Source organism: Homo sapiens, chromosome 4 (assembly GCF_000001405.40).
Source record: "Homo sapiens chromosome 4, GRCh38.p14 Primary Assembly".
Classification (NCBI taxonomy): domain Eukaryota; kingdom Metazoa; phylum Chordata; class Mammalia; order Primates; family Hominidae; genus Homo; species Homo sapiens.
The window spans coordinates 33,351,312-33,365,357 of NC_000004.12; the positions used below are offsets into that span (position 1 = coordinate 33,351,312).

Here is a 14,046-nt window from a genome sequence, read left to right on the forward strand (position 1 = left end):
GAAACTATTTCATCTTTATTTAGTAACATTTATAATTGGCTTTTTAGTAATTAAAAAATAGAATATAAAAAATAGGAAACCAATTTTACTTCTTTAACAATTACACCTATAGACAAATACCAGAGGGATTAACTATTTAAATGTAAAATGTGGCAGTTTAAAACACTACAAGGAGAAATGTGTTTCTAACTCAGGAATAGGAAAGGCACTTTTACAAATGGCATAGAAACCACCAGGAGCCATAAATGAAATGGAAGCAAATAAAACTTTAAAACCCTTTTATTAGTTAGGTTAATGCTAGCTTCTGTAAATAACAATCATAAAGTATTCAGTGGCTTCACAGAGTAAAAGTTTATTGCTAGCATGGTGGGTAGGCTACCATGCTGTGATTCAGAGCCTCAACGTCCTTCCTTTTCTCTTGGGGCTAGAGACTTTTCTGGGTCATGATAGTCCTCAGTATTCAGCTGGCCGTTGAGGCAGCAGAGAGTGATAAAGGCCCACCAGCTTCTTAAATACGCAGACCTGAAAAAGACCCGCATTCATTCTACTCACACTACATGTTTGAACTCATTATCCCCACCTCCCTGACTTTGATTCAAAGGTGTGATGAGAACATAATTTCTGCCTGGTCACCTGTTGCTCATCAACAACTCTGCACAGTAGAAGGTGTAGCTCATGTAATTAGAGGAAATGCAGTCATATTTTTTAAAAGAAAAATGTATCTACACACATAAAAAAGTCACAAAAAAGAAATCAAACATTGAAAATCCAACTACCATAGATGATACACTGATAAAAAAGCAGAGATTCCTTAGGAAAGTAAAGAAAGTACTAAAATGAGGCAATAAAAAGGAGAATAAAATTGGTCAATAAATACATGAAAATATATTTAAGTATATTTTAATTTAAAAAGCAAATTGAAGCTCTTTGATGAATTTTTTCATTGGTGAAATTGGTAAAGCATATACAAATTATCAAAACTGGAGAAGAACAGTTTTTATTACGCTTCAGGAGATGATAAAAAATAAATATAAATTCTATCTCTCTCTCTCTCTCTCTCACACACACACACACACACACACACACACAGAGAGAGAGAGAGAGACAGAGAGAGAAAGAGATGTTCTCTAATCATTTGGCAAGGATTAACAACTAACGGAGAAAATGTTAGGGGTCTTCATCATAGGTGTTTGTATTTTTGTGTTTTATCAATTATTTGCTTTTGTAAAATGCATGCATTGATATTGTAATTCAAACATTTTGTTTTCAACATAATTAAACAAAACTCTACAAACTGCACCAAATTATTAAAATGTATTAAGGTTTTAAACACCTTAATATTTGGCTATGCTAAGTATTAAGCATAGCTAAAGTTTAATTCTGTGTTCCTTAAATTTCAGATTGTAAAGTAATAATTTGTGGAGTCTAATAAAACACAGATTGCCTACATCCAGTTCCGGTGTTACTAATCAACAACTCTAGGGAGAAACCATGAATATACATTATTAATGAATACTCTAGACAATTCTGATGCCAGTGATCTCTGTGGAACATACTTTAAGAAGCAACATGTTGAACTTAAAAATTCATAAAATAAAAACTGATGTCTAAAGTAATTTTATTTGTATTGTGTTTCATTATATTTTCATCATTTTCAAAGCAAATACCCTCCACTGTATATATTTCCCCTTAATATCAGTTTTCTCTAAGTTATGATGTAAAGAGCCTGGACACATTTTCAGTGCTTTCATGGTATCCATGTTATGCTAAAGCTTCATCACACTCCCATAACTATTTTATACAGGTTTGCCTTTTTCTCGTAAACTATGAGCTTTTTGGAACTCATGTACAACATCTCTCTCATTCACTGATGCACACCCAATGTCTTGTACAAGTATAGCACACAATAAATATTAAAATATTTGTTAGATATGAGTGAATAGTTGAAAATATTAATACATAAGAGGATACATGGTTATTGATATTGTATTGTTTCATTTTCATATATCTATACTGTCTCTTTAACTAGACACTCCATTTTGAAATAATCGTTTACTTTATAAACTACAATAAATACAAATGCACAGAAAGATTGTTTTAGAGTTTAGAGAGAATAACAAAGTACAAAATGTTTTGTTTATTTACCGTTATAAAAAGATAATTCAGCAGTGAAAAGATTCAGGGACAACATAGAGTGTTTGAAAAGGTACAGTTTTGAATTAGACTTCAGGAGTTTGGATTCTAACCTCAACACGTTTTAGCTTGGTGACATTAGGAATGTTTCCTAGACCTCTGATATCTCCATTTTCTTATCTGTAAAATGTGAATGATAATAATATGGCTATATTAGTAGGTTCTTGTGGAGATTATATGAATCATTTGTAACAATTCTTGACATATATTAAGCAATAATGATTGCCAAATAAATACTCAGTGACATCAAATACAGATTCTTCTATATTCATTATCATAATCTGTATTGAAAATATAACAATTTTATCAGCTGAGAGTCTATTGAGCAATGAATAATACAGTAGATATATTAATATGAGATCAATGCAGTCCATGGTTTTACCCAATGAATCTGTTACTCAGTGTTTCAGTTTTTCGAGCTCTATTAATGCTCGTTTTCTTATTCTTCCAGTAAGTAATACTGAGCAGTTGAGCTGTAGGTAAATCTCTAACCTCACGGATTTCATAACTATTGTGTGTGGGAAGAAATATAAAAATAAATAAATATATAACAAGATTTCATATATGATGTAGCTGATTCTTATGAATATTAACAGATAATATGAATGATTTCTATAGACATACATTCCCCAAATTCTAAATTTATGTTTGGAACATTTGCTTGTGTGTGTTTCTATGACATAACCAAGTTTGTCTTGAACTTGGAAGGCAAAATAGCTTCACTTACTTTGCTATTTTTAGGGCCATAATCCAGTTCTTGACACTCATAGTGCCAAGACAAGGTAAGTAATAATGCAGAAAGAAACAAGAGAAACATACAAAGGAGATTATTATTATTTTTATTTCTGATTTCTGATGATGGTTTCAATTGCTCCAATGAGAAAACCAATCTAGAGCAGAAATTGTTCTTTTAATTTTAGTCTTTTCCCTTTATCTTATACAGCATTTTATATGTTAATAATTTTTCAAAATTCAGATATTCATAATTTGAGAAGCACATCTTGGAGGTGTGGCTATTAAAACATAAATAAGAAACGTGTGGTTTACAAATTGGAATTGCAACTTACCACTTCAAATATTGTTTGAAGATATTTTATTTTATTTTACTTTATTTTATTTTATTTTATTTTATTTTTTATTTTATTTTATTTCAGGAATGTCTTCTTAGAAATACTTGAAGGTGTTTCTACTTGAAGACCAGAGAGAAAGTGAAGTGGTCTCAAAGTGAATACATCCAGAAAGCAGCATCCAATATGGCTCTGCAATTAAGTTTCTATTCACTCAACTCAGTAATTGGCTAATTATGTCATGGTTATTATATGTCTTGTGTTGTTCTTAGTCTAAATTAGGTTCTGTTCATTTTGGTTCAATTTTTATGAGTAGTTTTCTGGTTCTGGTTTTTCTTTTGTTTCAATATATAGTACTTTCAGGCTAAACAGGCAATACCTCAGTTTGAAATGTTTAGGATAAATTTGTAACCTTCTAAGTCTTTATGACTTTAATTTCTCAAAAACGAATCCACACATACTATTTTTTCTCAACAGAGTACAACAGGTATGTTTATGTAAACCCTAATTTATCTCATTAACTGCACAGTTGTGTGTAGAGCTGACATTTTCTGATGTCTGATTCTCATGTAGAAATATCTTCGATCTAAATCCTTGCATTAGTGTCAGGAAAAACTTTCTAGAACACGGTGTCTCTTATGCTGAATGTCACCAGAAGGCTCTCCTATGATGACTTCTCTTTGTAAGGCAATCCATTAGATGTATCTTTTACTCTGTTATAAATAATGTCACCTTACCTGGGCTATGCTCTCTACCAGAATTGTGAGCACTCATGTTGGTTCTATTGACAGTTGTGATAAATTGTTATTCATCTGCATGTGTTCTTACACAATAAAATTATGATTCATAGAAAAAGTATCTGAGATTGCTAGCTGGGGATAAATTAACAATTAAAGGCCAAAGAATTGAACAAGGAACTGCCATAGCAAGGCTTCAGAATGAAAACAAAGGCGTTAATATCCGCTTTGCCAAGTAATTATAATTACATCTTCAAATGTGTTTTTTTCTCAAACACTAGAATGAGTAAGTTGTTACTGTATGATATATATAGAGAGATAGATAGATAGATAAAGTGTTTTTTAAATAGTTTTTTGCATTAATCGAATGTTTACTCTGTACCAGATTCTATCCATGTGATGTATGTATCTGTTAGATAATCTAATCTTCACTTTTATCCTGTGAATTTGATACTATTACTATCTCTACTTAATGGTTAAAAATTCTGAGGAGCAGCCTGAGATCTCATAGCCAGCGAGTACTGGAGTTAAGTTCCAAATCCATATATCAGTATTCCAGGCTGCAAAACAGAATTTAGCAAAGAAAGTTCGTATATATTAAGGGACTTTTATCTATAAAGCATTTTAATAATTCTTCACATGCAGCATGACTAATAAAAGTTGATGGCTTTTCTTAACAAAAATTCCTAAGAAAGATGAGAACAGAAACTTCCTGGTTAACTAATCCCAAAACAGTTTATGAAACCATAGTAACAGAATAATAGATTAGCTGAGCACTATAATTGGGCAGGGAGGGGGAGATTTGCACATTTAAAATGTAATTTAGGGAAGCACGCAGAATTTATAGTATTAAATGAACAGTAATATTTCAATGTTAAATATTTTAAGACCTTTAATTTATATTCAATTCAAAAGAAGAAATTCGTTTCAAGACTAATTTCACTAGCAAAGTAGTAGCTCCTTTTTCATTATTAAACAAGTAATAATAACACGGCACTTGAGTCTTTTATTCACTTAACAAATATTTATTGATTCCTACTATATGTCAGTCACTCTTCAAAATCATTTTATTTTGACTGCGAACAGGATAGAAAATATTCCTGCACCAGTGGATTTTCAGATTACCTAGGACGCAGTTAAAAAAAATAGGAGAGGGAATTTTCAATGAGGATGCTATAGTAAATGCTAAGTTGTATTAGGCATTTATTATGTGACAGACATTTTTCTATATTTTTTACATCTATTACTCTAGTTGGATTTCACAATTACACTGTCATGTAAGAAATATTTTCATTCATATTTTTCAGATGAGGAAACTGAGGCATAAACATCTCATAGTGGGGTTCAAGGCAGGCTATTTTTTTTAATTAATAGACTTCATTTGCTTAGATTTAGTTTCACAGAAAATTGACCATATAGAACAAATAGTTCCTACATACTCGCTCTCTTTTTTATTCACTATTTCCCCTATTATTAACATCTTGCATTAGTGTGACCCATTTGACATAATTGAAACAGTATTAAGATATTATTATTAGCTACAGAATATTAACTAAAGTTCACCATACGTTACTTTTGAGATCAGTCTTTGCATTTTACAGTTTTGTGTGTTTTGACAAATGTATTATACAAGGTCATATATCTACTATTAAAATATTATAAAATAATTTTGCTACCCTAAATATTCCCTGTGCTCCATCTATTCATTTCTCCTCCCTTCCATCTTGAAACCACTGATCTTTCTGCTTCCTCTATAATTTTGCCTTTTCCTTTTCCAGAATGTTATAAGGGTGGAATCATATAGTGTGCAGCCTTGAAAGAGTGGCTTCTTCCACCAAATAATGTGCATTTAAGGTTCCTTCATGTCTTTACATGGCTTGATAGCTCACTTTTTATCCCTGAATAATAACTCATTATACAGATGTATCACCATTTGTTTACCCATTCATCTGTTGAAGGGCATGTTGATTGCTTCCAGCTTTTGTCAATTATGGATAGGCTGCTATAAACATTCATGTGTAGGCTTTTACCAACACATTTGGACAAACTCCAAGGAGCACAATTGCTGGATTATGTAAGTAGACTATGTTTCATTACGTAAGAAGCTTTCAACCTGTCTTGTAAAGTGGTTCTATCATTTTGCATTCCCACTAGCAATAAAGGAGAGTTGTTCTACATTTTTGGAACATTTGGTGTTGTCATATTGGGCAAGGGGTATTTTAGCTATTCTAAAAGGGATCTCATAAGTTTAATTTGCAATATCCTAATAAAATATGATGTTGAACATCTTTTCATACGATTATTTGCTATTTGTATATTGTCTTTGATGACGTGCCTACTCAGACATTTTCCCCACTGTTTAAATGGATTTTTTGTTTTCCAATTTGTTTCATGTGGACAAAATTATAATTTATGTTATATTGCCTTGTAGAATGCTGTGTAGATAATGTAACAGGCTAAGGAATAGAAATAATTTGATGGAAAAACAAATCTACTTTTTGTTTTACAAAGAAATGTTATGAAAGCCCTTTCTGAGGAGAAAGCCTTTTACTTGAAAATTTTTTAATAGAGGCAGGGTCTTGTTCTGTTCCCCAGGTTGGAGTGCAGTGACACAACCATAGCTCATTGCAGCCTTGAACTCCTGAGCTCAAGCGATCCTCCAGAGTAGCTAGCACTTTAGGCCAGAGCCACTATAACCCAGCCAGGAGACAACATTTGAGTGAAAATCTGAATAATAAGAAAACCTAGACAAAGAAATTCTTGGGTGTAGAGAGGATTTTCATTAAACACAATGAGTTATAGTTTCTTAACTTATGAAATGAAGATACCTTTGTTAAGATTTGCTCAATATTTGCTTATAACAACTAAATTGACAGAATCAATAATTAATTATCTTTAAATGGAGCGTCTAATATGTGTACTGTTTACAATCTTTTTTATTCAATGCTAGCATGTGGACCTGACATCATTGTAGATATATAGCTGATATGATATACAAACATGATTTTTAGCGTCTTTTTAATTTCAAATAAGTATTTATCTGAATATATTTCAATGAAAACCTAAATGTTTTAAAAAATGATTGTATAAAGACTTTTTGCAATTAATGCTTAGTTTGTGTAAGTATTCCGTCATGTGTATTGTTTAGTATTTTAGCTGCAAGCAATCAAGACTGAGTAATTTAAGCAGAAATGTATTGACAGATATTGGATAGATTGTAGACATTTCAGAATGACCAGAAAATCTGACACAGAAACTATGTAGTCTGGAATATTTCATCCAAATCCTACCACTTCGTTGGATCTGTGAAGTGCTGCAATCACGCTGACGACACTATGCATAGGGAACTGCCATTGGAATTCTCATCAATGTTGCTCCTTGAAATTGGTTGCAGTAGCTGCACTTGCTACTGTGTAATTTTGTTTCTCCTTCTGGTCTGTATATTTTGCTTTGTATCACTAGCTTTAAATTGAGAAGGCAGGTATTTCTGACTGGTAAAGCCAAGATCACGTGTCCACAGTCTAGCTGCTACAAGGGAAGCTCAGAAAATAAGTCAATGAAACGTGTTATTGTTTGTTTGTTTTTGTTTTTGTTTGTTTTGTTTTGTTTTGTTTTTGAGATGGAGTCTCGCTCTGTCGCCCAGGCTGAAGTGCAGTGGCGCGATCTCGGCTCACTGCAAGCTCCGCCTCCAGGGTTCATGCCAGTCTCAATTCTCCCGCCTCAGCCTCCCGAGTAGCTGGTATTACAGGCGCCTGCCACCACGTCTGGCTAATTTTTTGTATTTTTACTAAAGACGGGGTTTCACCATGTTAGCCAAGATGGTCTCGATCTCCTGACCTCGTGATCTGCCCGCCTCGGCCTCCCAAAGTGCTGGGATTACAGGCGTGAGTCACCGCGCCCGGCCAAATTGAAGTTTTTAGCTTTTAAAAAGGTGACATAAATGAAGACAAGGTAGTTTGAAAGTTCAAATGTCGAGTAGCCAAAAAGAATTAACAATTTTATATAGTATGCCATAATTCAGAATACATATTTTCCTGAAGAATATATTATTCTTTATATTCTCTTCTAATGTGGTGCTATCTTGGTATTTTTGTTAGTATAGATACAAAATGTTATCGATTTTTTTCCTACCAGGTATCTTCCCCTTTGTAATGTCGTATTCTAGCTCTCCCATCAAGAGTCTATTTATTTATTTGTGAATCTGGGCTTGGCCATCTTATTTGCTTTGTACAATAGATCCTTAGCAAATGTTGTAAGCAGAGGTTTGCAAACTGCCTGTGCATTAGAGCTTACTCTTTTGATAATCTCGGAAATCTTATATTAAGCATAAAGTGAAATCTTGGTAAGTCCACCATATGAGCAGCATACATCCCAACCATCTTGTTGACTACTATCTGGTGGCAAATGCATTAGTGAGACTAGATTATATATATATATATTTGTTGTTGTTGTTGTAGTTGTTGACACAGAGTTTCATTCTTGTCACCCAGGCTGCAGTGCAATGGCGAGACCTTGGCTCACTGCAACTTCTGCCTCCCAGGGATCAACAGATTCTCCTGCCTCAGCCTCCTGAGTAACTGCAATTACAGGCGCCCGCCACCATGCCTGGCTATCTTTTGTATTTTTAGTAGAGGTGGGATTTCGCCATGTTGGTCAGGCTCGTTACATGATAACTTGAGGAGCAGCTAAAGCTAAAAACTAGTCCCAAATTGCTTAACTATAGAAATGAGAAATAAGTATAGAGTATTTGTAATTCAAACCCACCAAATTTTAGGGTAGTTTGTTCTTGGTAAATGCTATCTAATACAGTTAGTATTTACTCCTTTTCATATATCACTGAGTAGCTTTTCTCCCCACTTTCAAATTGACACTCATCTGGTACATTGAAGGAAAATAGCTAAAATTTAACTGATTATTATTTGAAGGTATACATGGCATATTTTGAATATGGTTCACAAATCAGCTTCATAAAAGACCATGCATTTATTTCTACAAGACAAGATATTTAAACTTTTGTTTCAGATTTTTTAAAATATTATAGCATCTTGGCATACTTAGCAATTTTCAACATAGATGATGGTGTAAAAAAACTTTTATTTTTGCTTTGTTACAGATATATCAATTAGTTTCAGAATTCAAAGTTGGTTATACTAAAAAGAAAATAAGTGACATTTTAGATCAGAAACAAAGTTGATTATTCCTAACTACAGAAATGGAAAAATGGCAGGGACCCTAATACTTCACAGATCAGTCACTGAAAGCTTTCCTAGCCTTTAATGACTGCAGGGTTGTCAGTAGGTATAGCTTGGTGGTAAAAATCTGGTACACTTTCACCAGGGAATAGTGCTCCACTTATTTGCTTTCACAAAAAAAAAATGAAAATAAAACAAATTAAAAAAAACACACTTTAATGAATGTTGTAGTTTTGATAGTATTGTGAAATATTCCAGTAAATAAGTTTCTAAACTAAATTTATATGTGAAGTGTAAATGGCCTGTTCAATTTTATTGTCAAGAAAGGCTTCACCAAAGACTTTCCTCCAAATTATACATATTAAGTGAAGACTACTCTTCATTATGCCAAACTTCCAGTCAATTATTTCTAATATTTATAGAGGTAATTTCCTTAAGATGAAAAACTATAGAAATGTATTCTGTACTTGCTGTGTTTCAATGATGAAAACTAAATTTAATAAGCAAACACATTTTTGTGACTTTGTTTCTATATATTCTTGATCTTGTATCATCATATTTGATTGTAGTTATAGTCTTTCAATTAAGTTATCTTGCAGTATTTAACTTTAAAAGAATTATGGAAAATTTATTTAGCACTTATAAACTATAAAAACATATCAATATGCTTAACCAAAAGTAAGTTTTTAGTGAATTCGAGTCAACAAAAATTTTTAAAGACATAGCATGTGTAGGCCAGGCACGGTGGCTCACGCCTGTAATCCCAGCACTTTGGGAGGCCGAGGTGGGCGGATTATGAGGTCAGGAGATCAAGACCATCCTGGCTAACACGGTGAATCCCTGTCTCTACTAAAAAATACAAAAAATTAGCCAGGTGTGGTGGCGGGCGCCTGTAGTCGCAGCTACTCGGGAGGCTGAGGCAGGAGAATGGCGTGCAACTTGGGAGGCGGAGCTTGCAGTGAGCCAAGGTCATGCCACTGCCCTCCAGCCTGGACGACAGAGTGAGACTCTGCCAAAAAAAAAAAAAAAAAAAAAAGACATAGCATGTGTAGACTGATGTATAACTGTGCAAATTAAAAGAAGACTGTATATTAAGACAATGGAGTCAAGAAGAGTAGCAATTTAGATTATTACCAAGGACAAATAGTATAATAGTATGATTTGAAATATTTCATCAGAAGACATTATATCTGCTTCTCTACATATTCACAGGAATAGAAAGTAAATGGAACCTAAACTAGAGGAGACAAACTAAGGAAGATTTGCCCAAGAAACATAGCAACGATTAATAAATTGTCAGAAAGAAGCACTAATGGCCAGGACCTCAAAAGACAAGGTAACAATCACTATATTTGTAAATAAAAATACATTATTTATAACCAAAATAGTAATTTATTGTTTTATCCATTTAGAATACTAACCATTTTATTATATTGTCAAATATAACTTTATTAATATTTAATATTTACTATCAATTCTTTCTGTTGGAGTTTAAATCTAGTAGTGAGTTTCACTTTTAACTGCAATCCTATCACCCCGTTGTTTAAAATAATTTATCACATGAATGCTGACAAAATAGCCCTTCGTGTACATGAAGATGTAAATGATATATCCCCCTTAAGACTTTCCAGTTAAATTTTACCTCTAAACTTTGATGTTTTGAAAACATTGTCTTTGACTTTTTCTAAGTCCATAGTGTTGACACTACTTTGTATAATTGTATAAGTTAGATCACTCCCAGAAAATGAAAAGTAGTTTAATTTATAATATTTATAAACTATGACCTGGTCAACATGATAATGTATCATGTGCTAAGTGGACTAGTGACCAATAATATCCTAAGGATTTGTATTTCTATTTCCATAGATGACAAACCTGATATCCAGAATTATCAAGGTACTTATCAAGTAGAGGACCTGAAGCTGCAATCCACATCTTTGATCAAGTTCATTTCTTTCTCTAATAAGATCATGTAGCTTTCTATAGAATAGAATTTATCTGTATATTACCTTAAGATTTCTCATTTCAATGGACCACTGAATTTAAAAATTGAAACACGGGTCATTAATGGAGAAGTTATATAAAAGTTATTCTGCTATGATTTGTGGTCAATCATAAGTCAACAATTTGAAGCTTAAAATGTGCCCCAAAGATAATGAGCTTTTCTAATTATGAAGGGGCTCCTGGGTAAGGTAGGCAGGGCTAAAGTAAGCATTAAAACAAAATGAAACAAAGCATTGTAATGAAGTTGTTGGGCCTAGTTAATGCACAACGCAGTAAAACGTGATTGCCTGTTAAGCAAACCAGACAGGAGCCTCAAAAGAAATTAAATTATTATATAATAAATGTATTTAGAGAGGTGCAGAATCTTAACTTCAAAACCTTGAAAACATTAAATCAACCCCTGATAATTAATACATTATTTATATTTAATGACCTTTATGCATTAGAAATATGTTATAGCACTCACACTATACTAATCTGAAAGAGCTCGCAGAAGTGAAAAAACACAGAGAAAAATGTATACTTTTTACTATTAGTACATAATAGTTTTCAATGGCTTCTTCATAGCTAATTAGATATTAGAATATTATTTAAGGTACTTCAGATCTTAGTAGAAAATGTATGCTTTTTGTTTTGTATGTATGCCACCAAAAACCTACAATGTTTGTATTTCTCTGGGAACTCTGTTGCCATCACCAGAATAGTAATGTATAATATACTCAATTTACATACTAACAGGAAATTAATTTGTAACCAAACCGTAAGTAACCTCAAGCCACCATTAAAAAATCATTTGAACTTCTAGTATTAGACTAAATTAAAAAATATTAACAACTAGGTTGCTGAAGCTGAAATATAGCAAAATTCTGCAGTGTTTCCTAGGATTTGTCAAAAACTTAAAAAGTTATTGCTTTAGTATAGCAATGGTAGTTCTTAATTAACACAAATAGTAAATTAACCAGCATGTCCTATTTTTGAAAAACCCATATGCATGCCTTATATTGTACAAAACACCTATGACAGACAATGTTTACCTTAGGAATTTTCATATAAAAGTTAATTTATTTTAATATCAAGAATGATTTAATATTACCAACAAGAAAGCTACAGTCAGTCCTCCATATTGATGGGTTCTTCATCCATGAATTCAACCAACTACAGATCTAAAATTTGCAGAACAAAAAAATAGATGGTTGTATGTACTGAACATATACAGACTTAAAAAATATTTCCTAAGAAATATGGTACAACCATAATTTACATAACATTTACATTGTATTAGGTATTATAAGCAATCTAGAGATGATTTACATATACAAGAGGGTGTATTTAGGTTATATGCAAATATTACACCATTTTATATAAGATACTTGAGTATCTGTGAACTTTGGTATCCAATGGTGGGGGGCTTTGGAGCAAATCCCCCACTGATACCCAGAGATGAGTGAAATTAGATTTGAGGTATCTTTTTTCATCCATTAAAATTATTATACAGAATTTCATAACAGCGATATGACTAATTTTCCAGGTAAGCACAAAACGTGTCTGGAGGGTGTTAATAAGTGCTTATAACCATCAACCTAAGACCAAAGAATGATAAAAATTTACTAGTTGGACTCCCAAAAGTAATTTTTAAGGTTGATGTCAAGTGCCCAATTGTTATAAAGTAATTTCTCCAACACTTTACATTTTTGAAATAATCTAGATAAATTCAGTCCACTAAAATTCTACTTGAGCCTATTTAATTTCCTACGATTCAGTTATATTAACAAAAGGATTCTGTTTGGGTTTGGGGGTTATGCTTGAACGAGACTCAAGTTAATCATTTGGGTACTTAAATGTTCTTAACTCAAGGATTTCTTCTGACAGTCATTTCAAGAACAGCTTTATATTCTTCAATTCACCTATTCCACAAGAAATAAATACAAAGGGATTTTATTCTGCTCACATTTTTCTGCCTTGTCACCAAAATGCATTGCTTAGGGGCAATTTTCATGTACAAAAGGCCTATATGCTTCATGGATTTAAACACCCCTATTTCTCAGTAAAGGTCAAAGGGTGTTAATCACAGCCCCATAATTGTTCTCAACCTTCATTAACAGACACCATATTAAACTGATGGAAAGCCCTGCTTAATCAGGCTTTGCTAAAATTACTCAGGTAGATTATCAAGATAAAAGAGCAGGAAAGCTAGAAATGGGCCTGAGGGAGAATGTGCCTAAAAGTATCTGTCTTCCTTCTGTCACCAAAACCTGTGTAGCACTGAGAGATCTTTGGAAAGTAAAAGTTCAGACTTACTATTAGATTTTATTTTCAAGCATTAGAGTTTGGTGTTTTCAATTATAAATGAAAGCACAACTTGTTGCAGGATGATTTCAGCAAGGATGTTCCATTTCTTCATAAATAGTTATAATCTTGTTTTCCAGTACTTGAAATGTCTAAAGCCATTTGGATTTATGTAGGCCACTTCTTTCTGGTATTTATTCCTCAAAAAGCAGATATGTAAAATGTAGCAGAGTACCTATATTATACAACAGCCTTTGCATGATTAATATATAACTACACACATTGGCACATTAATTCACATTGTTTTAACACAGTTATGTTTTAGTCATCTAAATATTATGAAACAAAAAGAAGAAAGCAATAAAATATCACATACTTTATAGCAGACATAAGGGGAATATATATATATATGTATATACACACACACACATATATATACACACACACCCACATTTGATCTCTATCAAAAGGTTTTGATCAAGAAAAATATGTATGTGTGCATGTTTGCATTTATGTATACATTGCGACATTACTGTATGAATTAATATTTATTCAATTCAATTAAAA

The 14,046-nt window shown here is 32.6% G+C and overlaps 1 long non-coding RNA gene across 1 annotated transcript; it reads right to left on the reverse strand.

Moving 5' to 3' along the window:
- Positions 1-263: 263 nt before the first annotated feature.
- Positions 264-13,708, reverse strand: LOC124900832 (uncharacterized). The gene is made up of 3 exons (XR_007058423.1): positions 13,492-13,708; positions 12,287-12,356; positions 264-522 (listed from the first exon to the last, which is right to left on the reverse strand). It is a non-coding gene; the product is annotated as an uncharacterized LOC124900832 (long non-coding RNA).
- Between the last annotated feature and the right edge of the window lie 338 nt (positions 13,709-14,046).